Source organism: Homo sapiens, chromosome 9 (genome assembly GCF_000001405.40).
Source record: "Homo sapiens chromosome 9, GRCh38.p14 Primary Assembly".
Classification (NCBI taxonomy): Eukaryota; Metazoa; Chordata; class Mammalia; order Primates; family Hominidae; genus Homo; species Homo sapiens.
Genome location: NC_000009.12, coordinates 21,967,139 through 21,992,935, shown reverse-complemented (window position 1 = coordinate 21,992,935; position 25,797 = coordinate 21,967,139). Strand labels below are relative to the sequence as shown.

At 40.1% G+C, this 25,797-nt stretch overlaps 1 protein-coding gene and 2 long non-coding RNA genes across 12 annotated transcripts in view, besides 8 other annotated features; 2 read left to right on the top strand and 1 right to left on the bottom strand.

Annotated features, from left to right (window-relative positions):
• The window catches only part of LOC124902130 (uncharacterized), a 13,529-nt gene extending 1,093 nt beyond the window's left edge, over positions 1 to 12,436 (top strand). Inside the window, exon 2 of the long non-coding RNA XR_007061436.1 lies at positions 456 to 12,436. This is a non-coding gene — a long non-coding RNA (uncharacterized LOC124902130). The remainder of the gene's footprint in view (positions 1 to 455) is intronic.
• Positions 1 to 25,184, top strand: part of CDKN2A (cyclin dependent kinase inhibitor 2A) — a 27,573-nt gene extending 2,389 nt beyond the window's left edge. For 3 of the 10 annotated variants that reach the window (NM_001363763.2, XM_047422597.1, NM_058195.4), the window contains exons 2-3: positions 21,728 to 22,034; positions 24,694 to 25,184. In NM_001363763.2, coding sequence (NP_001350692.1) covers positions 21,731 to 22,034; positions 24,694 to 24,707 — 318 coding nt within the window. In that variant the 5' untranslated portion in view covers positions 21,728 to 21,730 and the 3' untranslated portion in view covers positions 24,708 to 25,184. The other 7 variants (NM_001195132.2, NM_000077.5, NM_058197.5 and 4 more) reach the window with 7 other exon arrangements.
• Positions 2,898 to 3,480: an enhancer, noted in NCBI's record as "H3K4me1 hESC enhancer chr9:21989455-21990037 (GRCh37/hg19 assembly coordinates)". NCBI's record gives its function as "activates a minimal SCP1, AML or CMV promoter by ChIP-STARR-seq in primed H9 embryonic stem cells {active_cell/tissue: H9 hESC(primed)}" and the evidence as "EXISTENCE:reporter gene assay evidence [ECO:0000049][PMID:30033119]".
• Positions 2,898 to 3,530: a biological region, named in NCBI's record as "H3K4me1 hESC enhancer GRCh37_chr9:21989455-21990037".
• Positions 3,386 to 3,530: an enhancer, noted in NCBI's record as "145 bp 9:21989477 sequence used in MPRA reporter constructs". NCBI's record gives its function as "activates a minimal TATA-containing promoter with rs3731198 allelic activity by MPRAs in UACC903 melanoma cells {active_cell/tissue: UACC903}" and the evidence as "EXISTENCE:reporter gene assay evidence [ECO:0000049][PMID:36423637]".
• Position 3,458: a transcriptional cis regulatory region, noted in NCBI's record as "rs3731198 or 9:21989477 MPRA-significant variant associated with a GWAS melanoma risk locus at 9p21.3". NCBI's record gives its function as "allelic transcriptional activity by MPRAs in UACC903 melanoma cells {active_cell/tissue: UACC903}" and the evidence as "EXISTENCE:reporter gene assay evidence [ECO:0000049][PMID:36423637]".
• Positions 17,522 to 17,571: an enhancer, noted in NCBI's record as "active region_28244". NCBI's record gives its function as "activates an Ori minimal core promoter by ATAC-STARR-seq in GM12878 lymphoblastoid cells {active_cell/tissue: GM12878}" and the evidence as "EXISTENCE:reporter gene assay evidence [ECO:0000049][PMID:35858748]".
• Positions 17,752 to 17,851: a silencer, noted in NCBI's record as "silent region_19812". NCBI's record gives its function as "represses an Ori minimal core promoter by ATAC-STARR-seq in GM12878 lymphoblastoid cells {active_cell/tissue: GM12878}" and the evidence as "EXISTENCE:reporter gene assay evidence [ECO:0000049][PMID:35858748]".
• Positions 18,072 to 18,121: a silencer, noted in NCBI's record as "silent region_19811". NCBI's record gives its function as "represses an Ori minimal core promoter by ATAC-STARR-seq in GM12878 lymphoblastoid cells {active_cell/tissue: GM12878}" and the evidence as "EXISTENCE:reporter gene assay evidence [ECO:0000049][PMID:35858748]".
• Positions 23,131 to 24,044: an enhancer, noted in NCBI's record as "H3K27ac-H3K4me1 hESC enhancer chr9:21968891-21969804 (GRCh37/hg19 assembly coordinates)". NCBI's record gives its function as "activates a minimal SCP1, AML or CMV promoter by ChIP-STARR-seq in primed H9 embryonic stem cells {active_cell/tissue: H9 hESC(primed)}" and the evidence as "EXISTENCE:reporter gene assay evidence [ECO:0000049][PMID:30033119]".
• CDKN2A-AS1 (CDKN2A antisense RNA 1) lies at positions 25,182 to 25,797 on the bottom strand. The gene has a single exon (NR_024274.1). It is a non-coding gene; the product is annotated as a CDKN2A antisense RNA 1 (long non-coding RNA).

Genomic DNA, 25,797 nt, shown 5'->3' with positions numbered 1-25,797 from the left:
TAGTCAAAGGAGCTTATAAAGGATTTCAGGGCCTGTTGCTGGATTTGATTTTAATTCATTTTGAAACATTGACAAGACCCTGGTTGTTGTTTTTTTTAACAGTGGTTTATCCGTATCAGCAAAAGTTTAGCCACTGTGACCGGTAACTGTATGAATATAGTTCTTAATATTATTGTCTATATAAAAATATTTATTACTCTAGTTAATATTATTCTATATAAAATCATTTTGTTTAAATTATTAAGTTGCCTCTGAAAATCTGTAGTAACAAAGTAGAACATGTCAATGTATATAAATGCCATAATTATGTATTTTTTAGTTTAGGCCTATAAAACATAACATTGTGGTGATTTTAAGTTAGAGAAAATATTTTATAGTATGTTAATGTATATGCATGAAATGCAAAAATATTTAAATGATAGGTTCATTGAAATAGATCATTTTTTGTTATTTAGGTATAAATCAATTTTCAGGACGTATGTGAAAAGCGCAATCTTCAGGAAGTTTCTCAAGATAGAACACAGCTTGGATAGAATGTCTTGAAATATATGCAATTTTCCAATTTCATATGTAAAATGATATACATAATATAAAATCTAGCGGTGTTAATTATAATGATATGTAATTATATATTTCACATTAATATATTTTATGCCCATGGCTATATTGATTTGGGAATATATATGGATACTAATTATGTTAGGATTCATACAATTCCTTGAGAGGCACAAGTGCTAAAAATTACTTGTATGAATTATTTAATATCATTGCAAATAAGATGTTATTTTAACTTTTTTTAAGTTTCTGCAAATATGTTTATTATGACTTTTTATTTTTATATGATTGGAAATACATATACTAAAATTCCACGTTACCAGTTTCTTAACCACAGAAACCTGAAAAATTGCCATAGTTGATTTGTTACTTCTACCTTGGTGCATTTACAAAATAGTCATATTTTTATTATGAAGTTAAATATTCATTTGTTTATAGCTACTTCAGAAGGCTCAGGTTATTTTTTTCTTTAATAGCACAGAGTCCTCTCAAGGTAAGCACTGTGCAGTTAGTATAAACCATTATTCCCCATGTGTACATGATTCACAGTTTGTATTGTGTTCCAAGTGAACCATAGCCCTTTCAGAAATCAAGACTTATATTCATTTTACTTCTTTGAGTACTCTTGAATTTTAGAAAGTCCATTATGATCCTAAGGTAGCAACAACATAGCCTATTACCGTCTATGATGGTTTACAGATCTATTATTCCACGTTAGTTCATCACTATCAACTACCATGATAGAGTTAAGCTAAACCATTTTCCCAACATATGAAAAACTCCTATTACTAAAGTGATACAAATGGTATCAAAAATACTTTTTTATAGCAAGGTTCAACAGTGGGCCCAGTGCTTTTACACTTTTTCAAAAGTCCTTGGAGAAACAGAGAAAATCTCACTTGCCTTCTGTACTAAAACATTCTAGGCCGAACTAAAACTGAAACTTCATAGTAGAACACTGTAGGCCAGGGGTGTTCAATCTTTTACCTTCCCTGGGCCACATAGGAAGAAGAAGAATTGTCTTGGGACACACATTAAATACACTAACACTAACAATAGCTGATGAGCTTAAAAAAAAAAAAAAACTCATGATACTTTAAGAAAGTGTATGAATTTGTGTTGGGCAGCATTCAAAACCATCCTGGGCTGCATGTGACCCTCGGGCCCACAGGTTGGACAAGCTTGCCCTAGCTCCTCCATCTGCTGCAAAGCCCAGCCTGATACAAAAACCAACGTGATAAAAAGTTTTTGTGGTGCTTTATTTTGGCAGTTTAAGTTATATAAACAATGGGTACAGTTTCATTTTCTAAATATAAAATTTTTACATTGAATATGAATTTTTAAGACAAATTATCTGAATTCTGATTCTCATATACCTAACTACTAATATCTTCTCTATTTGTTGCCCAATGAGATTAATCCACCTCTTAAACACTTCACCATCAAGAAAAACAATTTTGTATTTTAAAATGAACCCATCCACTTTCATTCAGCTATTTTATATTCAGGCATCATCCTAAGGAAAGAAAGGTTCTGACAAAGATTAATACAGATGGATAAGTAGTAGCAAGAAATCAAAAACTGCATAAAATTCTAGCAATAAAGTGTTAAATTATGGTACAGTTACATTCTGGATCATCAGGTATCTGAAGAATATTTCATAGACTGTTAAATGATTGCATTATAAAGTCAGGTTTTTTTAAAGCAAGATTCCAAACAGTAAACAGTTTCTCTCTCTCTCTCTCTCTCTCTCTCTCTCTCTCTCTCTCACCAAATTAGTTATAATGGTTTCCGCAGGATGAGAGGGGTTGGGAAAAAGTTTGGTGATATTTATTTTCTTCGTTTCACTTTTGAGTTTTCCAAAGTGCTATGACCATCATCAGTAAAATATACATTTCCAAAGCCTTTGACACACGGTAACAGTCCTACACAGTGGATGAACTAAGAGCTTCTCTACCCTTAGATGGGTAGGGAGGGAGGAAAGACAAGGAAACTGAGTTGTTTAAGTGTCATACACGAGAACGTGGCTTTAAGGTCTGGGAAAACCTGCGAGGGCTGTGACGTCAGACTGTGAAATGCACGCTATGTCCATTCACCAAGACGTTCCATTTTAAAACCCATAAATCCGTAGCTATACCTGTTTCCAAGGTGCCTCGTGTTAGGCCTCTGGTCACAGCACTTGGCGCCCTTCTTGGGATCTCTTCTCTCCGCCCCCACTACCCCACCCCACAAGCACACTCTAGTCCCCTCCAATCAATTTCAGGCAGGTCTCGCCGCCTCCGGAGCCACGCTGGGGGTGCAAGGGCCCTGGACCCGAAAGAGCGCCCGCCCGGCGACAAGAGATGAGATGCACGCTGCTCCTCCACTCCTCAGCCCCCACCATCCTCCTCCTGGATCCTAACTTCCCCACTCTCTCAATTCCTAGAGACGCTGCGGATCCCAGAGGCTTAACTGGCAGCTGGAACGAGGTCCTCCAACAAGAATTTAGACGCTAGGTCCAATTATCACTCCACCGCGCGCACTTTCCGCAGGAGCGATGTGATCCGTTATCATAACTGCGGACCTGGGGTTCCACGTGGAAGACGATTGGGATTTCACTGGCCGCGGTGGGGGTGGGAGCAGACAGAGTCTGAGTGGGGTTAGTGGACTCGAGACGAAAGGCAGGACATGACAGAAGGCAACTCTGGGTCACCTCTCCAGCTTGGAACTGGCTAGGCCTTGTTTTGGAGGGGATGGGTAGATGAAAAGTGAGTCAGGGTTACCCGGAGGAACCACGGGGAAAGTGCGCTTCTGAGACTCTTGACAGCCATTTCGTTCCCTTCCAAGCCAGATGGAGACCCAAGAGTGTTGAAAGGCCACGACTTCCCTCAGTTTCTCCATCTGGGGGTGCAGGATGGTATAGAGAGTGGCCCGTAGTATTTTTCCAGTGACGATGTCTCTCCATTGTTTTCTTCTTATATTGCAGCTTTCCCCATGTTTGAAAATTTTCTTTTCAAATGAAATCATTGATTAGAATAAAAAAAAGTAAGTAGCTATTAAAACAAGATCAATTTCCATGACAGTAAGCCAACCGATGGAGAAAACCTTGGGAATTAATAAATGAAGGATTTGTTTGGTAGATGATAAAAGGTCCTTTTAAAGGGTCTGACTCTTCCTAGAAAAACCCACCAACTTGGGACCGCAACAGATTTACCATATCCTAATTCATGCTATTTTAATGTGTATTCAGCAAACCCACATGTGTTTACAATTGTCGAAGCTACCAAATGTCAATAGCGTTTTTTTTCTATTTGTTGAATGTGAATCTCTTGTACGAAGCCATATAAACAGAAGAAATTACAGGAATGATTTTAAATCACATACAAAACCAATAGTATTGCTAGAGGAGAGTTAGTCAAGGACGGCATTATGAAGAAAGTGAGGGAGAATTTCCAAAGAGCAGAACGATAGGGCTTGGTGGACCAAAGAACGTTTCCATCTAAAGGGAATGGCAAATACTTAGAGTCTCTGAACCCACTGAATCTTGGACTATTTAACTAATATTTGTAGTTCCAGATATAGCACAGTGCCTTGTACATAGTGGTATTTTTAAAAATATAGTGCCTCGTAGATTTTTTTTCAACTTTTATTTAGGAGGAGAGGGCACATGTGCAGGTTAATTACAAAGGTATATTGCACCATGCTGAGGTTTCGAGTACGACTGAATCTGTCACTCAAGTAGTGAGCACAGTACCCACAGTAGGTAGTATTTCAGCCCTCGCTCATTCCCTTTCTCCTCCATCTAGTAGTCCCCAATGTCTATTGTTCTCATATTTATGTCCAATTAGCATTTGTTTTTTAAAAAGGGTGGTTGAAGAAATTCTCAGTGCTTGTCAGTGTCTCTCAGTGCATTCATTTAATTCATGAGCCCTGGAATGATGGTTTCATTTGGGCAGAACTCTACAATCAAAAAGAAGTAATAAAAGGGAAAAAAAAGTGAAAGCCATCAACTACAGGATTGAAATTCCCAAAGCATCAGAGGTCCTTTCAAAAAATAGTATGTTGATTTTTAATTTTTATGACTTATTGGCTTTGTTCATGAAAATATAAACATGTTATCACAAAGGATTTTTTAATTCAACTATTTCTCAGTTTTCTCTTTCACCTTCAAAATAAAATATCATAAATTATTTAAATGGTTGTGAAGGCAGTAGGATTTTTTTAAGAGAGAAAAGTTTTATAGAGGTTCAGAATTACATGAACAAAGACATGTAATCTCTTAAGCAAATTGAAACTAATAAAATCGTACAATCAAGGTAACGTAAATAAAAAAGCCTCTGCTTTCTTAATTGAATTATGTGAGTAACTAGAAATTTTAAAAGTATGGCAAAGGTTAACAACAGCATTATTACCTGGGCTGCCTTTAAAAATACATATTTCTGGGGTTCACGTTCAGAAAATTTGATTCAGATTTGCTGTGGGTCCCAGAAATCTGCATTTTAAATAAACACTTGAAGGAGATACTAATACAAGTGGCCCATTGGGACACAATTTGACAAATATGACCAATTTTACTTTTTAAACCTTATTTCTGCTTCTTTATCTTTGAATTGAGGTCCAGGATTTTAGGTAAGATTTTAAGTTTAGAGTCAGTTTACTGGATCCCAGGGAGGAGAGTCTGAGTAATCAGTGGAGGAGTTATTTCACCAAATGAAGGAGACCCTTTATTATTATGTGACCCTTTGTATGAATTGGAAAAGAATGTCTTGTAGATACCACATTTTTACAGTCAGAACATAGTTTGAGAGAAAAAAATATAACAAGATATATTTGTGTTTTAAAGCTTACAGAACCAGACAGAAAATTTCCACATAAGCTATATAAGATACGTTGTCTTTTTAAAACACTATATACACTTCTTTCTGTTCGTGCAGGATGAATGGATCTCTCTCTCTCTCTCTCTCTCTCTGTGTGTGTGTGTGTGTGTGTGTGTGTGTGTGTGTGTTGTAATAAGGGGTTTCTTTCATTTTATGATCCAGACCAGGCTCGTAATAAACATGACAACCTAAAATTATGTAAAAAAGAAAAATCAAAGCACAAGTGTTTCACAGGTTTAACTTATGCTTATCTAAGATCAGGGCAAGATTGCAGGAAAATGTAGCCATAACAGAATAAAGCATTTATGGACAAAATGATGGGTCTTTATGTCTCTGTAAAAGCACAGTGATGGGGGGGGAAATATAGATGAAAAATGTAAGCTAAAAAGTAACAATTATAAGAAAAACTAAAATATCATGCCTTTCAAATGATCATTTTTCTGCTTTTAAGCTAAAATTTGTCTAATATTACACCAGTGACTTTGCTGATGTATTAGGAAAAAGCTTGTTTTGCTTTCTTTTCTCGAGTGCCACCATTTTCTTGCTCTCATTCTCTTTCAGGCTGCCAGATCATCTGACTCAGCAATTGTATAACTCTCTCACCCAATTTAAAGAAACAGCAGCTGTCTAGAGAACAATGACTCCCCCAGTTGAACATCTAATTGTTAAATGTCCAACATCGGACACTTTGAATTTTACTCCATGCAATTTACATGCTGAATAGTTGAAGTTGAATATATTATATTTAACATTTAATTTTTAAAAGCTTATTGAAACTTTCTTCCTAAATCACATGGTAAAGTTATTGTTTTCTTCAAAAACAATTAGGAGGAGCTTAACAATAATAGGACACTTCAACTTCCATTATCTAATTTAATTATCACAATATCCTTATGTTTTCAATGTTTCATTTTTTCATTTTGTAGATCTGGAGACTGAGGCTCAGATAGGTTGCATGGCCTACCAAAAGTCATTGACTAGTAATTCATATATAGTTGAACTTGGTTGCCCATGGAGTGCTATAAATATGTATATGGTTTCAGTTCCATCTCTTTTAGTTAACTATTATTTTGAAAGTCGCTTAACCCCTTTGGGCCTCTACTATACTCAAGCATCAGCCGTATAAGTCACAGTAAATATTTATTGGTTGAAAGGAGGTTAACATCTTTCAAAAATTTATTTTTTGACCAAAATAAAACCAGTGAAAAATTCTCATATGACTGTACATATAAATTACTTATTCCTACCTTAATTTAAAAGCAATAAGTGGGATACCTATTCACCAGCACAGGAACCACTTGAAGCGTGCAGTTGAAAGATTACTTTCTTTAGCATTCACATGACCTGTGAGCAGATTCTATTTCTTTTGCTTATTAGCTGTCATGGTACCAGAATGAAGTATGAGAAACTCTCAGTGCTTTCATGTTCTCATCTGTAAACCTGAGACCCTATGGTAGTCCCGTAATAAGAGGTAGATAAAATAGTATGTGTGAAGAGTCACTGTAAACTTTTACACAGTGTACGTTTGTCAGTTATTATAGTGCCTAATTAAACTATGCCCTTAAGAAAGCACATTAGTTTTTTACAGTAAATACCTACTTCATTATAATTTTTCAGTGTAGCTAGAAATTTCTAAACTCCACTTTAAAAATATACATATCATAATAAAAATATATTTATGTATTCAGACTCCTGGTATGTTCCAAGGTGTTAGGTAAAATCAGTGTAAATTTGCATACTTTTAAATTCACATCTGTACAGAAGATCTATATGGTGGCCTTTAGGGTATACCTCTAAGCTATTCTAGTATTCATAATCATTAAAGAGATATTAAGCAGTGTTTGTGAACCCCTGTTTTCTAAGACAGGAAATCAAGGTAGCTTTAGAAAACTGGAAAAAAAGTTATTAGTCTATCTATCTAATAACCCAGAATAATAATTTCCAAAGGAATCACTGAAGATAACTGGATTTTTAATTCCTTCAGAATGGTTGTCACAGTCTGAATATCTGAATCAACAGTTTTGACCAAAACAATTTTCTAAAAATTCTTTAGTATAAAAAATTATGTGTGTGTGTGTCTGTGTGATGAAAGGAATGATAGGCAGAAACATTACTGTCATCCTTACGACATTCAAAATGCCTACCTTGGAGGGTGACCTTCAGTTATTTTTATGCAAATGTGAAGAAGTTATTTAGAAGTAGGATATCAAAGAGTAACACAAAATACACTAAATAGTATGCTTTCTTAAGGCTAAATTGACTTGGGGGTTTTAAATCAGTACAGAGTAAACATACAGTATATTCTGTTATCATTGCCTTTTTGAAAAATTAATTATGGAAGTTATCATCTTAACCGTAACAACACAAAAGATAAAACTCTACCCTCAACCCAGAGACTCAAAGGAAAACATGAGTGGAAATGTTAAATCTGTATGTGAAAAGTGCTAAAACATGAATAGGAAGCAGTTACTTATTTAATCAAAGTTGATTATATTTCATCAAGAAGTTGATTCCCTTGAGTGGAGTTGAATCACATATCAGGTGAAGAATGTGATTTGGGGAAGAATGGTCTAACACAAGAAAATTTTCTTGCAATCTTTAATAATATCAGAGGGGAGATTGGCTTCAGAACTCTCCTAAGTTCAGGAAAGGACACAGAAAATTGAACATAACAGTAAGACTATAGAGTCCCAAGAAAGCAAGCTACTTTTAAAGGATAGTTTTTTAGAGGGGCAAAAGGGGGACAACCATTCTCCATTTGATGAGAAAAGCTTCCATGTAGATGGTGCCCCTGAAATTAGAGTATCCTAAACCAGTGTTAAACCTATCAGTGAAACATGAATATTAAACCTCCACTCCCAGTAGTGAAAACCGAATACATTATTATTTATCTGTGACTTTCAACATTATCTCAGAACTCTAACAGCACATGCGTACATCAGCAGCATAAGCAGAAATGAGATATTATATATGCTTGTGTTAGCAATTAAAAAGGACAGCATATTTGAGAGGGGAAAATCTGTCCTATCAAGAATGAAAAAGAGGGAGGTTAGGAAAAGTAGTTTAGAGAAAGTAAATTTTGCAATTCCTCAGTTTTAACTGTAGTTTCTCCATTGTACCTTCCACTTGAAATGCACTCCAAGCAGTGGAGGTGGGTAGCAATGAATGCAGAGGAAACACTGAACACAGTGACACTCTCCAGTGTCACTTCTCATGATTTAATGAGGGGTTTTTTTTGGAAATTCTTCTGTCATAACATGGGAAACTTTGTTACAAAGAAGCTGTTTTTTCAGAGGGTTAGAATTCAGAGGTAGCATCATACCTTTTAGAAGAGAATTTGCTTGTTGAAACCACAGATACCTGCTAGAATGTACAGGAATTAATGAAAAATTACTCAAAAGGACATTTATTTTGATGACCTAAATGAATAACTTCATAGTAAATGTCATATATATTCTCAAAAAATTAAAAAGCACCATTTATTGAGAGCCTACCGTGCACCCGGATTTTTATATATCTGACATTCTTTATTCCTCACAGTAACCTTATGGGGTAAATTTTATTTTCCCCACTTTGTGAGGTGAGGAAATAAAGGCTCAGAAAGTTTACATAACTTATTCAAGCCCACAGAGCTGGTAAATGAGAGGTCAGTTCTATCTGAGTTTAAAGACTAGGCTTGTCCCACTTGCATATGTGTCATTTCCAAAATTATGATTAAGGATATGGTTGGCATTTCCCGCCACCCACATTAAGTCCAATTAAGTAGCTGTGGCCATAGAAAGAATGGAGAATGGAGAGAGGAACTGACTTCAACAGCTACAGCAAACATTTATTAGCTGAGTAACCATAGCTACATAGTTCCTCAATATGTACCACTCCTCCATTTTGTTATCTATAAATCAAAATGGTGGCTTTTTAAAAAGCAGTTTTACAATATATTCAAGAGCCTTCTACCCTTTGAAAAACTGCAATACTATTTTTAGTAGCAATTAGAAACACCTTAAATATCTGACAACAGGGACATCATTAAGTAAATTATAACTTTTTCCAGTGGGATGTGTTACAGCTGTTAAAAGTAGCATTTATGAAGTGTTTTTGGAGAAGTTTGGAAAATGCTGTAATAAGTTAGAAAAAGCTCATTTCAAAATTGCATAATATTCACAATGTAAAGATTAAGCAAAGAAAAAGGAAGAAGTATTTCAAAATGTTAATAATTATTGCTTTGTGTGGGGTAGTTTTTCATTTTCTATGTGCAGCTAATTCCTTAATTATTTTTAAATATGTGAGCTTTAATCAGGAAAGCAAATCATTCAAAAATGAGGGGACTGAATTAAGTGACTTTCAGGGGACTTTGCGTGTCTTTGAGTTCCAAATTTCTATCACTATGTATTACTACTGAAGAATAATCATAGAAGCACAGTAGTTTCTGAAAATGGAGAGTCAGTAATCTTGGCCCAGGTTTTGCAACTTGCTCTAAAGCAGAGTCCTCAAAGAAAAGGAAGCATTGATGAGTTGTCCACAATGTACTGGATAAATTATCATTAGGAAAACATATTGTAGTAGGGAGAGTGAGGACCTCTCAAACAGAACTGAGAACCTTAAGTTTGAACTTTTCTTTTCCTTATTACTTAAGCACTCTGAGCTTTTTTTTTTGTCTGCATTATGAAGAAAGAATAATACTCTCTATCCCATGGGACAGCTGTGGAATTATAAATTACACATATAAAACTGCTTGATGCTTGTCACATAGCTGGGGGTTGAAAAAATGATAGCCATTATTTTCTTGGCAACTTTTAATGAATTTTTTATTATCTCTATTTCTTTCTGCCTATCTCCTCTAATTATGTTTATTACTTATTTTGTTCCTCAGGATGAGGTCAATTCTCAATATCTGTGCTGTACATAATATACATATATACCAAATATGTGCATATAGTATGTACATACATACATACTGTGCTAATCTTTTAGTGTTCTCAGCTGATCAAATAGCTACAAATAGATATAAGTAATTCGCCACAAGTAATTTATCAACATAAAAAAAATTTACAAAAAAGTTAAGGAATAATTGTCTCCATGAGCTGCAAAGATCCCTCATTTCACAAGAGTACACCCTAGAGATATTTTAATAGTAAATTTCTCACATAGATTTAAAATCACATTTGTTTTGCACATAATTTAGAAAAGATACCTGCTATATAATAAGTAATATACTTTTAAGTTTCCTTCAAAATATTCTTGGGAAGATGATAATAGGTACTGCTAATTCTATACCCAGTTAACATTTTGGAAACTAAGGTTGAAAATTGTGACTTAACTATAATTATGCATTAAATCTACAACACATCAAAGAATTTTGCATTTTGTACTCCTTACTAAGATCCAGTTTGAGTAGGAAGATAAATTTTACAGTAATTCTGAATGAGGGAAGTTGGCACAGAGTTTCTAAAAGAGTACCTTCCTTATAGCAAATACTAAATAATTGTGCTATATTGAATTTAATTAAATAGAGAATAGTAAAAGGGAGAAAGAAACATCCAATGTTTTGAAACTTCTAGAGATCTACTCCCAGGGACACATTGTTTTTTCTTAGCAAATCTGTTTGGAGGTCTGCTCTACTTTCTCAGAGGTCTCCCTTTCATGCTGAAGCTATCTTTTTTCCTTGTGGAACATAAGTAATTAAATACCTTGCAATTATTTACCTAAGAAAGTGTTTCTTTCCCGTTTAAAATGCTCTTACCACCCACATTGGACTCGATTATCAGAATTTTTATCCGGGGCAGCTTCAGGAGCACTTTGGCACTTCGGGGCTAAACCACAATCTGTTTTTACATGTTTGTGATTATACCCGTTTTGTAGATCAAGACATTGAAGCTAGTAAAAAAAAAAAAAAGTCATTTTTTCAGGGTAACAAAGTAGGTGGTAGAACTAGGACAGGGACTCTAATTTCCTTACATTATTGCTTTTCTAAATTAAAGGGATGCATGGAATTATTCCTCCATTGCCTTTGCCTTCAAATAATTATCTATTGCACCCAACATCCTATTCTAGAACTCATCTATGAAGGCTTAACACAGCTGTACCTGGGAGCTCCATTACAGGGCATATATCTCGCTCTCATAAGCTACTTCCTAAGGAATTCTCTTTAATTATGGGAGCTTTTCCAGACTCTGAAATCTTTTTTTCCTGGTAACACAAGTGTGAGGTGTCATTTATCAGAATGCATCACCCCAGTCTTCCCTCCTCAAATGATTACTGTAGGCTCCACTCAAGAGCTCATCCCAGTTCAAGACCACCTTCCTCCTCCAGAGAAGCAAATATATATATACACGTATATATATATATACACGTATATATATATATACACGTATATATATATATACACGTATATATATATATACACGTATATATATATATACACGTATATATATACACGTATATATATATATACACGTATATATATATACACGTATATATATATATACACGTATATATATATACACGTATATATATATATACACGTATATATATATACGTGTATATATATATATACATTTTTTTTTTTTGAGACGGAGTCTCGCTCTGTTGCCCAGGCTGGAGTGCAGTGGCGCGATCTCGGCTCACTGCAAGCTCCGCCCCCCGGGTTCACGCCATTCTCCTTCCTCAGCCTCCGGAGTAGCTGGGACTACAGGTGCCCGCCACCTCGCCTGGCTAATTTTTTGTATCTTTAGTAGAGATGGGGTTTCACCGTGTTACCTAGGATGGTCTAGATCTCCTGACCTCGTGATCCGCCCGCCTCGGCCTCCCAAAGTGCTGGGATTACAGGCGTGAGCCACCGCGCCTGGCAGAGAAGCAAATATATTGATGGTTGTTACCAATACATGCTCTTGACTAAGAAACCTTCTTTCTTAATTAATATTGACAACTTTAAGCCGAGTGCCTGACATATATTAGGTACTCAGTTACTCTTTTTCAACTAAAGTTATGAATGATGATTCTAATAAAAGTAACTTATTTGTCTACTAGTTTTATTATGTTTATTTAATTCATTAGAAAGGCCATGGACATAGTACAAAATTCAAACAATATAAATCATGGAATGTGAAAAGTAAGTCACATGCCCATCCCAGTTCTTCATTTCCTTACCTCACAGGTAACAGCTTTTCCTGTATCTCCCCAGAGATATTCTATGTATATTTTGTTTTTAACACCAAGCTATATTTAAAACAATTATCTTTAATAATAATGTTAATATTGAAACTGGTAAAGAAATATGTGTGTATTATCTCACCTCAAGCGTAAACAATAGAACAAGAGAGAGCCCATTTTGAAAATTATGGACAATGAATCTAGAAATAATCTCAAAAGATTTTGCAGTCAAAAAATAGTTCATTAGATACATGAGAACTGTCACTTGGTCTCAGTGTAGAGCTATTGCCTCAACTCCCTTTATTTTCCTAACAAAATCATCTTGCTTATCCCATGAAATACGTGCATATTGCCAATCCTACAATGCCGCATCAGAACCAGAACCCAACTCTGGAACACTACCTTCTCAAGTATCTTTCTGTCTCTTTATGGTAATATGTTGAATTAATATTCACATCTATTATGACTAGTCTTTGATTTGTAGGGTTGCTGAAGTAGTAGCACCACTGCAGGGCTTTCTTTAGTTTAAAGAAAGTAATCAGGTGTCCCTACTGTGTCATGATCTCCACCCTCAGCTGGGTTCTCCAGTCTGGTTTTAAAGAACAAAACAAAAGGCTTCTCTGTCTGAGTCTTACTCAACCCATCCTCTCTACTCATAAGAGGTATTCCAAACCTTTACGATTCTCAAACTTCCTAACCGACCATCTTATTTTCACTCTGCAAACAAGCTAACCTCCTCATTCATAGAAGGAAGTGCCTCAACTTCCTCCCCGTTCTGACCTTTTCTCCCTCCCAAATCTATGTATCTCTTGTGACAAAATCTATAACCACCGCTGTACTTTGAGTTCTATTTCTTCATTATTTTTGAGGGACCTCAAGTCCTCAAAAATATCCTATCTTGCCTGTGTACTTAACTTTTCTTTTATTCTTTTCTAACTTTCCCTTCTCTTCACTTGGCACTTGCCCTTCCAGGTATATGTGTGCTCAGGTCTCCTCCACCTTCCATCTGCCTCACTTCATGGCATAGGGCCTTGAACTATCACAACCAAGCTATGAAAGAGTAGTCAACGCAGTGTCCCCACTTCCTTGCCATCCCATTATCCTAGTTTTTCTTTTGGCTCTCTGAGGAGTCCTTCACAGGCTGGTTTTCAGGAATAAGTCTAAATGAATCACTTTCAGTTTTCCTAAACTTCTATGCCTTTGCACATCCTCTTACCTCTGCCTAGAATATCTTTCTCCTTCTTTTCCATCTTTAAACTCTCACATCATTCTTCAAGACTGGGATCAGCTCTCAGCATCCGGAAGCCTTTGCCTACTAGAGACAAATGAGAATGAGTTTGGTCACCTTTTCATTTTCTTGTATCATTCTGTGCTTTATTTTGCTCTTCTAAGAGCGTTACATGCTTCATTTAATCCCTAAACAACTGTTTGAGGCAAGTACAGTTATTATCCTAATCATGCAAATGAGAAAACAGAGGCCCAGACATGTTGAGTAACTTTGATAAAAGTTAAAGAACCAATAAGTGGAACAGTTGAGGTTTGAACCCTGGCAGTCTGACTGTAGAGATACTATGTTTGACCTACTCCCCTCTGCCCCCACCCCATGTCTGCCCTTAGTTTCTGAGCTTGTTGAATGAATGAACAGGTGGTAGTCTTTTTTTGTTATAAGACTGATCAGAATTAAGACAGGTTTAAATTTCACGTGTAGAATTTTCAAAACTGCAAAGGCAGTGCAAATCTAAAAAAAGAATGGCATTCTCAGGAAAGAGGAAAAGTAAGTGTGAGAATAATAATAACAATAACCAACAAACTTTAGTAAATTTAGTAAATGTAGTAAATTTTTACATTAAAAGCTTTTGGACATACATTATCATATTTTATGGCCACATGAAATATATTATAATCCCATTTTGCACATAGGAAATCTGAGACTGGCATAAGGAGCACAGAGATCCAGGACTTTATATTTTCATTCTTCTAGGATTTTGCACCTCAGGTCGATATGTATGAGTAAACTGGGAGTATAATGGGCTCTTTAACAGAAAAACTAGGAAAGTTTTCCCACTATTATTAATTATTTACATAATATTTTTTTAATTTTATTATTATTTATACTTTAAGTTTTAGAGTACATGTGCACAATGTGCAGGTTTGTTACATATGTATACATGTGCCATGTTGGTGTGCTGCACCCATCAACTCATCATTTAGCATTAGGTATATCTCCTAATGCTATCCCTCCCCCCTCCCCCCTACATAAGATTTATAATGGATAATGGACTTCAATTTCTAGAGCAAAATGGCCCCACCCAAGGATGCCATAATCCTTCCAGAGCTCTACTGCAAGATATGAGATATACATATCTAAAACTTGTTCTTGGTATTTCCAAAGCAGTCAACTTTTACACCTGTTTATAATGCATCCAAATGTTGTTTTTATATGGTTGCATCTCCCATCTTCTTCACCAATAGCTATATATATTTTTCACAAGAGCTGAAAGAGTTCTTGATGTAGGAATCCATGGTAGAGTTTCAGAGAAATCCCTGAATTCACTGAAAGTTTTATCTAGAAATACATGTGCAAGTGAACACATCTTTTTTAAAAAAAATCATTACCTACTTTCTTTTTTGAGAAGAAGGTATTTATTTCAACAGACTCTTGAAGGAGCCTACTCTTCCCACTCTCCCACCCCCATTAAGAACCACTGTAGGCCGGGCACGATGGCTCATGCCTGTAATCCCAGCACTTTGGGAGGCTAAGGTGGGTGGATCACCTGAGGTCAGGAGTTCGAGACAAGCCTAGCCAACATAGTGAAACCCCGTCTCTACTAATAATACAAAAATTAGCTGGGTATGGCAGCATGTGCCTGTAATCCCAGCTACTCGGGAGGCTGAGGCAGGAGAATTGCTCGAACCCGGGAGGCGGAGGTTGCAGTGAACCGAGAGAGATCGTGCGGTGCCATTTCACTCCAGCCTGGGCAACAGAGCGAAACTCCATCTCAAAAAAACACACAAAACAAACAAACAAAAAGAAAGAACCATTGTATTAGTGATGGAAATGTGTTCCCTCCCTCCCATCCTGGCAACCACTTTCTTCCTCCTCCATCATAAAATATCTTAAACTAAACTAAAATAATTTTATTTATCGATAGTTTGAATTTTCCCTATCATTGCTACACAGCTAATTGAGAGGTACCCCGAGGAAAATATAAATGGTACAGTAATGCATTGTAGATTTTAATAACATACTTGACATCCCAAATTGTTTTCATTGGCTTCATTTTAAAAACTACATGTTTTAAAATCAAGCAGACACTAAAAGTACAAGATATACTGGGTCTACAAGGTTTAAGTCAACCAGGGATTGAAATATAACTTTTAAACAGAGCTGGATTATCCAGTAGGCAGATTAAGCATGTGCTTAAGGCATCAGCAAAGTCTGAGCAATCCATTTTTTAAAACGTAGTACATGTTTTTGATAAGCTTAAAAAGTAGTAGTCACAGGAAAAATTAGAACTTTTACCTCCTTGCGCTTGTTATACTCTTTAGTGCTGTTTAACTTTTCTTTGTAAGTGAGGGTGGTGGAGGGTGCCCATAATCTTTTCAGGGAGTAAGTTCTTCTTGGTCTTTCTTTCTTTCTTTCTTTCTTTTTTTCTTGAGACCAAGTTTCGCTCTTGTCTCCCAGGCTGGAGTGCAATGGCGCGATCTCGGCTCACTGCAACCTCCGCCTTCTCCTGGGTTCAAGCGATTCTCCTACATCAGCCTCCGAGTAGCTGGGATTACAGGCATGCGCCACCAAGCCCCGCTAATTTTGTATTTTTTAGTAGAGACAGGGTTTCGCCATGTTGGTCAGGCTTGTCTCGAACTCCTGGCCTCAGGTGATCCGCCTGTCTCGGCCTCCCAGAATGCTGGGATTATAGACGTGAGCCACCGCATCCGGACTTTCCTTTTATGTAATAGTGATAATTCTATCCAAAGCATTTTTTTTTTTTTTTTTGAGTCGGAGTCTCATTCTGTCACCCAGGCTGGAGGGTGGTGGCGCGATCTCGGCTTACTGCAACCTCTGCCTCCCGGGTTCAAGCGATTCTCCTGCCTCAGCCTCCTGAGTAGCTGGAATTACACACGTGCGCCACCATGGCCAGCTAATTTTTGTATTTTTAGTAGAGACGGGGTGTCACCATTTTGGCCAAGCTGGCCTCGAACTCCTGACCTCAGGTGATCTGCCCGCCTCGGCTTCCCAAAGTGCTGGGATTACAGGTGTGAGCCACCGCGTCCTGCTCCAAAGCATTTTCTTTCTATGCCTCAAAACAAGATTGCAAGCCAGTCCTCAAAGCGGATAATTCAAGAGCTAACAGGTATTAGCTTAGGATGTGTGGCACTGTTCTTAAGGCTTATATGTATTAATACATCATTTAAACTCACAACAACCCCTATAAAGCAGGGGGCACTCATATTCCCTTCCCCCTTTATAATTACGAAAAATGCAAGGTATTTTCAGTAGGAAAGAGAAATGTGAGAAGTGTGAAGGAGACAGGACAGTATTTGAAGCTGGTCTTTGGATCACTGTGCAACTCTGCTTCTAGAACACTGAGCACTTTTTCTGGTCTAGGAATTATGACTTTGAGAATGGAGTCCGTCCTTCCAATGACTCCCTCCCCATTTTCCTATCTGCCTACAGGCAGAATTCTCCCCCGTCCGTATTAAATAAACCTCATCTTTTCAGAGTCTGCTCTTATACCAGGCAATGTACACGTCTGAGAAACCCTTGCCCCAGACAGCCGTTTTACACGCAGGAGGGGAAGGGGAGGGGAAGGAGAGAGCAGTCCGACTCTCCAAAAGGAATCCTTTGAACTAGGGTTTCTGACTTAGTGAACCCCGCGCTCCTGAAAATCAAGGGTTGAGGGGGTAGGGGGACACTTTCTAGTCGTACAGGTGATTTCGATTCTCGGTGGGGCTCTCACAACTAGGAAAGAATAGTTTTGCTTTTTCTTATGATTAAAAGAAGAAGCCATACTTTCCCTATGACACCAAACACCCCGATTCAATTTGGCAGTTAGGAAGGTTGTATCGCGGAGGAAGGAAACGGGGCGGGGGCGGATTTCTTTTTAACAGAGTGAACGCACTCAAACACGCCTTTGCTGGCAGGCGGGGGAGCGCGGCTGGGAGCAGGGAGGCCGGAGGGCGGTGTGGGGGGCAGGTGGGGAGGAGCCCAGTCCTCCTTCCTTGCCAACGCTGGCTCTGGCGAGGGCTGCTTCCGGCTGGTGCCCCCGGGGGAGACCCAACCTGGGGCGACTTCAGGGGTGCCACATTCGCTAAGTGCTCGGAGTTAATAGCACCTCCTCCGAGCACTCGCTCACGGCGTCCCCTTGCCTGGAAAGATACCGCGGTCCCTCCAGAGGATTTGAGGGACAGGGTCGGAGGGGGCTCTTCCGCCAGCACCGGAGGAAGAAAGAGGAGGGGCTGGCTGGTCACCAGAGGGTGGGGCGGACCGCGTGCGCTCGGCGGCTGCGGAGAGGGGGAGAGCAGGCAGCGGGCGGCGGGGAGCAGCATGGAGCCGGCGGCGGGGAGCAGCATGGAGCCTTCGGCTGACTGGCTGGCCACGGCCGCGGCCCGGGGTCGGGTAGAGGAGGTGCGGGCGCTGCTGGAGGCGGGGGCGCTGCCCAACGCACCGAATAGTTACGGTCGGAGGCCGATCCAGGTGGGTAGAGGGTCTGCAGCGGGAGCAGGGGATGGCGGGCGACTCTGGAGGACGAAGTTTGCAGGGGAATTGGAATCAGGTAGCGCTTCGATTCTCCGGAAAAAGGGGAGGCTTCCTGGGGAGTTTTCAGAAGGGGTTTGTAATCACAGACCTCCTCCTGGCGACGCCCTGGGGGCTTGGGAAGCCAAGGAAGAGGAATGAGGAGCCACGCGCGTACAGATCTCTCGAATGCTGAGAAGATCTGAAGGGGGGAACATATTTGTATTAGATGGAAGTATGCTCTTTATCAGATACAAAATTTACGAACGTTTGGGATAAAAAGGGAGTCTTAAAGAAATGTAAGATGTGCTGGGACTACTTAGCCTCCAATTCACAGATACCTGGATGGAGCTTATCTTTCTTACTAGGAGGGATTATCAGTGGAAATCTGTGGTGTATGTTGGAATAAATATCGAATATAAATTTTGATCGAAATTATTCAGAAGCGGCCGGGCGCGGTGCCTCACGCCTTGTAATCCCTTCACTTTGGGAGATCAAGGCGGGGGGAATCACCTGAGGTCGGGAGTTCGAGACCAGCCTGGCCAACAGGTGAAACCTCGCCTCTACTAAAAATACAAAAAGTAGCCGGGGGTGGTGGCAGGCGCCTGTAATCCCAGCTACTCGGGAGGTTGAGGCAGGAGAATCGCTTGAACCCGGGAGGCTGAGGTTGTAGTGAACAGCGAGATGGAGCCACTTCACTCCAGCCTGGGTGACAGAGTGAGACTTTGTCGAAAGAAAGAAAGAGAGAAAGAGAGAGAGAAAAATTATTCAGAAGCAACTACATATTGTGTTTATTTTTAACTGAGTAGGGCAAATAAATATATGTTTGCTGTAGGAACTTAGGAAATAATGAGCCACATTCATGTGATCATTCCAGAGGTAATATGTAGTTACCATTTTGGGAATATCTGCTAACATTTTTGCTCTTTTACTATCTTTAGCTTACTTGATATAGTTTATTTGTGATAAGAGTTTTCAATTCCTCATTTTTGAACAGAGGTGTTTCTCCTCTCCCTACTCCTGTTTTGTGAGGGAGTTAGGGGAGGATTTAAAAGTAATTAATACATGGGTAACTTAGCATCTCTAAAATTTTGCCAACAGCTTGAACCCGGGAGTTTGGCTTTGTAGTCCTACAATATCTTAGAAGAGACCTTATTTGTTTAAAAACAAAAAGGAAAAAGAAAAGTGGATAGTTTTGACAATTTTTAATGGAGACGGGAGAAGAACATGTAGAAAAGGGGAAATGATGTTGGCTTAGAATCCTAACTACATTGGTGTTTAATATAGGAACATTTATTTATATAACATTTTAAAGTACTAAATTCATATTAGTATATTATCAAATGGATATATTATCAAATGGGTTTAAGCATCCTACACATTTTAATTCAATTGATTCATTTTCTTTTTGCTTTGGATTTCTATCATGATTTAAATATTTACATATGGGTTACTTTTTAGATTTTTCATACTATGAAATATAAGAAAAACCTTTAAGGCTAGTTTTATGACCAAGACGAAGGACTTCATTGAATACACAAAACAATAAATATACTGCAACATTTTGTCTTTCTTTTTGTAGCTGCAATTTGGTTTGCTTATACTTTCTCTTTGTCTCTTTGAAAACTGAGTCAGTTTCACTTTCTCAGGACAGGATTTAATAACCATAATATAATTTAGTATAATTCCTTGATTTAGGCAAATTATGCAATTTGTGTTTAGTATGAAATGTACCTAAAAATAAGTAACTCCTCTTTAACACCACCATCCTCAAACTAATATAACAAATAACAGTTATCCTAAAATAAATTGTCTACTTCCACCATGCAGCACTCAAATTTTAAGGTTGCTATGACTGCAGACAGTATTTTAAAATTCCTCTCTGGAAATGGCTTTGTTTCCAAGATGATTTAGGAACCAAAGAGGTGACCATCTCTTGTTTAATGAACTCTCAAATCATAAACCTGGGAAGTGTTTTAGTTTCCTACTGCTGCTGTTACAAATTATCACAAATGTGTTAGCTAAAACAAACACAAAATTATTATTTTACAGTTCTAGAGATCAGAAGTCAAAAATGGGTCCACAAGGTTTCATTCCTTTTGGAAACTCTAAGGGGCAATCTGTTTCCTTGTCTTTTCCAGCTTCTAGTGACCATCAAATTCCTTGGCTCATGGTCTCTGTATTTTCTCTGTGGCCTGTGCTTCCATTCTTGTATCTTCTCTCTGACTGTGACCCTCTAATAAAAACACTTGGGGTTATGTTGGGCCCACCCTGAAAATTCTGGATAATCTCCCTCAAGACCATTAATTAAATCACATCTGCAAAGCCTCTTTTGCCACATAAGTTAATGTATTAAAAGTTTTTGAGGATTAGGACATAGACATTGGGGGTGGGGGGGCATTATTCAGCCTACCACAGGAAGGAATTTTAGGGTTAATTAAACTAGCCTTCTTATTTTATACTTGAAGAAATTGAAGTTTTGGAATTGGAGAGCATTATGCTAAATGAAATAAGCCAAACACAGAAAGACAAATATCACATGTTCTCACTTATCTGTGAAATATAAAACAATTACATTCTTAGCAGTAAAGAGTAGAATGGTGGTTACTAGAGCTGGGGGGTGGGAGGAATGGGGAGATGGTAATCAAGATATAAAGCCTCAGTTAAGATGGGAGGAATAAGTTTGATTGTTTTTTTTGAGATGTGTTTCATAGCATGATGAATATAGCTAAATAGTAAATCCCAAATGCTCTCATTTGACAAAAATGTCAAATATTTGAGATGATGGATAGGTTACTTAGCTTGACTTAATAATTCCCCATTGTGTTCAAAGATCATAACTTCATATTGTACCACATAAATATATACAACTGTACTATCCCAATATATAATTTTAAAACTAATATAATGAAAAAGAAATTGAAGTTCAACATTCCCAGAAGCTAAGTGTAACTTAAAAGTTTTGTGAGAATTTGTTTTAACAAACAAACAAGTTTTCTCTTTTTAACAATTACCACATTCTGCGCTTGGATATACAGCAGTGAACAAAAAAAAAAAAAAAAATCTCCAGGCCTAACATAATTTCAGGAAGAAATTTCAGTAGTTGTATCTCAGGGGAAATACAGGAAGTTAGCCTGGAGTAAAAGTCAGTCTGTCCCTGCCCCTTTGCTATTTTGCCCGTGCCTCACAGTGCTCTCTGCCTGTGACGACAGCTCCGCAGAAGTTCGGAGGATATAATGGAATTCATTGTGTACTGAAGAATGGATAGAGAACTCAAGAAGGAAATTGGAAACTGGAAGCAAATGTAGGGGTAATTAGACACCTGGGGCTTGTGTGGGGGTCTGCTTGGCGGTGAGGGGGCTCTACACAAGCTTCCTTTCCGTCATGCCGGCCCCCACCCTGGCTCTGACCATTCTGTTCTCTCTGGCAGGTCATGATGATGGGCAGCGCCCGAGTGGCGGAGCTGCTGCTGCTCCACGGCGCGGAGCCCAACTGCGCCGACCCCGCCACTCTCACCCGACCCGTGCACGACGCTGCCCGGGAGGGCTTCCTGGACACGCTGGTGGTGCTGCACCGGGCCGGGGCGCGGCTGGACGTGCGCGATGCCTGGGGCCGTCTGCCCGTGGACCTGGCTGAGGAGCTGGGCCATCGCGATGTCGCACGGTACCTGCGCGCGGCTGCGGGGGGCACCAGAGGCAGTAACCATGCCCGCATAGATGCCGCGGAAGGTCCCTCAGGTGAGGACTGATGATCTGAGAATTTGTACCCTGAGAGCTTCCAAAGCTCAGAGCATTCATTTTCCAGCACAGAAAGTTCAGCCCGGGAGACCAGTCTCCGGTCTTGCCTCAGCTCACGCGCCAATCGGTGGGACGGCCTGAGTCTCCCTATCGCCCTGCCCCGCCAGGGCGGCAAATGGGAAATAATCCCGAAATGGACTTGCGCACGTGAAAGCCCATTTTGTACATTATACTTCCCAAAGCATACCACCACCCAAACACCTACCCTCTGCTAGTTCAAGGCCTAGACTGCGGAGCAATGAAGACTCAAGAGGCTAGAGGTCTAGTGCCCCCTCTTCCTCCAAACTAGGGCCAGTTGCATCCACTTACCAGGTCTGTTTCCTCATTTGCATACCAAGCTGGCTGGACCAACCTCAGGATTTCCAAACCCAATTGTGCGTGGCATCATCTGGAGATCTCTCGATCTCGGCTCTTCTGCACAACTCAACTAATCTGACCCTCCTCAGCTAATCTGACCCTCCGCTTTATGCGGTAGAGTTTTCCAGAGCTGCCCCAGGGGGTTCTGGGGACATCAGGACCAAGACTTCGCTGACCCTGGCAGTCTGTGCACCGGAGTTGGCTCCTTTCCCTCTTAAACTTGTGCAAGAGATCGCTGAGCGATGAAGGTAGAATTATGGTCCTCCTTGCCCTTGCCTTTCCTTTTTGTGATCTCAAAGCATCCTCCCTCCGCCCCCATTCCATGGCCCCAGTTCCCTACTCCCACAGCTGTCTGCTGAAACTGCCAACATTACTCAATTGTTTCTGGGGGGAGGAACATTTTTTTTTGAAACAAAATAGATATATGAAACAGTACACGGGAATTAACACGAATATTTAAGGTAAAACATGACCTTGAAGATTATGAAATCCATCTTATTTTGGCCCAGAACGGGGGCATTGGGCTCCTTGGGCCATAGGGGAGCTGGGGAGGACAGGGTGAAGAGTTAGCTCTAAGCCCTCTGCTTGGAGATGCTGTAAATACAGAACGCAAAATCACCTTCGAAGTTAAAGACGCGAAGTTCTTCTTTACTCGGCCCCTCCTCCCCTCCCCCCCGCCAATTCCCTCCAGTTACAGCTAGCATCCAGGTCCCGGGAGGTGAAGAAGGAGACTTCGGCTCCAGTTACAGCTAGCATCCGGGTCCCGATTTAGAAGGAGCTGCCAATTACAGCGCGGTTCCAGGGCTGAGCAAAAAGCCTGAGGAGCCAAGTGGGAGAGGGAGTAAAACTACTGAATTGGGCCACAAGCAAATGAATAAACTGAACGACTCTTAACCAAACCTAATATATTTAATCCAAACACACAAGTCTTTCATTTCTTCCCTCCTCCCTTCCTTCTCTTACTCCCCAACACCCCCTCTTCAAGCACAATTAATTATATGGTTAGATTCTACTGCGTGATCAGCCCTGTTCTAGGTGGTGGGCACGCCAAGGTGAATGAGACCAAACAAGAGTCTTGCCCTCATGGGGTTTACATTTGGAGACAGAGTCGATCTGTTGCCCAACCTGGAGTGCAGTGGCGCGATCACAGCTCACTGCAGCCTCAAACTCCCTGGCTCAAGGGGTTCTCCCACCTGAGCCTCCCGACTAGCTGGGACCACAGGTGCACGCCACGACGCCTGGGTTTGTTTGTTTGTTTAATAGAGACGAAGGTCTCACCATGTTATCTGGGCTCAAGCGATCATCCCCCCTCCTCCTCCTAAAGTACTGGGATTACAGTCCCAAGCTATCTTGCCCGACCTGGGAAACAGACGTTAAGGAAGATAACAATCTATTTTCAGAGAGCGAGTTTATAAAACCAATGCAATGGGTAAATATGAAGTGTGAATAGGAGGAGAAGCTAAAGAGTGGTCGGAGAATCTAATGCAAGCTACGGGAGAAAGAAACTCAAGTGCAAATGCTGCCTCAGGAATAAACGTAAAAAGAGACTTTCAAGTGCAAATGCTCCCTCAGGAATAAAATAATCTTGAGACTCTCAAGTGTAAATGCTGCCTCGGGAGAACCGAACGGCGAGCTGGAGCCCATACGCAACGAGATTAGAGAGGAAGGCAGAAGCCAGAGCACATGAATAAATGAGCATCCATTTTGTTTCAGAAATGATCGGAAACCATTTGTGGGTTTGTAGAAGCAGGCATGCGTAGGGAAGCTACGGGATTCCGCCGAGGAGCGCCAGAGCCTGAGGCGCCCTTTGGTTATCGCAAGCTGGCTGGCTCACTCCGCACCAGGTGCAAAAGATGCCTGGGGATGCGGGAAGGGAAAGGCCACATCTTCACGCCTTCGCGCCTGGCATTGTGAGCAACCACTGAGACTCATTATATAACACTCGTTTTCTTCTTGCAACCCTGCGGGCCGCGCGGTCGCGCTTTCTCTGCCCTCCGCCGGGTGGACCTGGAGCGCTTGAGCGGTCGGCGCGCCTGGAGCAGCCAGGCGGGCAGTGGACTAGCTGCTGGACCAGGGAGGTGTGGGAGAGCGGTGGCGGCGGGTACATGCACGTGAAGCCATTGCGAGAACTTTATCCATAAGTATTTCAATGCCGGTAGGGACGGCAAGAGAGGAGGGCGGGATGTGCCACACATCTTTGACCTCAGGTTTCTAACGCCTGTTTTCTTTCTGCCCTCTGCAGACATCCCCGATTGAAAGAACCAGAGAGGCTCTGAGAAACCTCGGGAAACTTAGATCATCAGTCACCGAAGGTCCTACAGGGCCACAACTGCCCCCGCCACAACCCACCCCGCTTTCGTAGTTTTCATTTAGAAAATAGAGCTTTTAAAAATGTCCTGCCTTTTAACGTAGATATATGCCTTCCCCCACTACCGTAAATGTCCATTTATATCATTTTTTATATATTCTTATAAAAATGTAAAAAAGAAAAACACCGCTTCTGCCTTTTCACTGTGTTGGAGTTTTCTGGAGTGAGCACTCACGCCCTAAGCGCACATTCATGTGGGCATTTCTTGCGAGCCTCGCAGCCTCCGGAAGCTGTCGACTTCATGACAAGCATTTTGTGAACTAGGGAAGCTCAGGGGGGTTACTGGCTTCTCTTGAGTCACACTGCTAGCAAATGGCAGAACCAAAGCTCAAATAAAAATAAAATAATTTTCATTCATTCACTCATTTATTGTCAACATTTATTGAGCACCTATTACAACAATTTCATCGCATGGAAGACAGCATCGTTTCTGACACTGTTGTTTCATGTATCTCTTAGAAAAACGCTGCTATTAGACATCTAACACTATTTATCTTGAGGTGATAAAATATCAAAAGCCGTGTCTCAAGATCGATGAAATGCGGTTAAAATGATGAATAGAAACTCTAGGGGGACCTCATATCGATAGACTCGAGACTGGCACATCTGGAGATCCGTATTTATCCGGCTTCCCCTTCCAGATCACGCGAGGTTTGGGATATTTTGCTCACCAGGCCTCAGCCAGGTAACTGAATCCAGCCAACCCTGGCCCATAGTCTCGGAATCCGACTCGGCTCCCAGTCCCCGCCTCGGCGTTCTGAGACCCCCAGGCTGGGGTTCCAGAGGGCTGTGAGGTTGCGAATGACTGCTGCCAAACCGGAAGGAACTCTGCGGTTCTCTGCCACAGTGGGATTGTTGCAGGCACGCGGCTCAGACTTCACTGAGGTTGGGAGATGCTCCTGTCCACGCTGCCTCATCCCGTGCTGGAGCACTGCACCTCTATTTTTTTTTTTAGGGTACACGCCACATAACATAAAA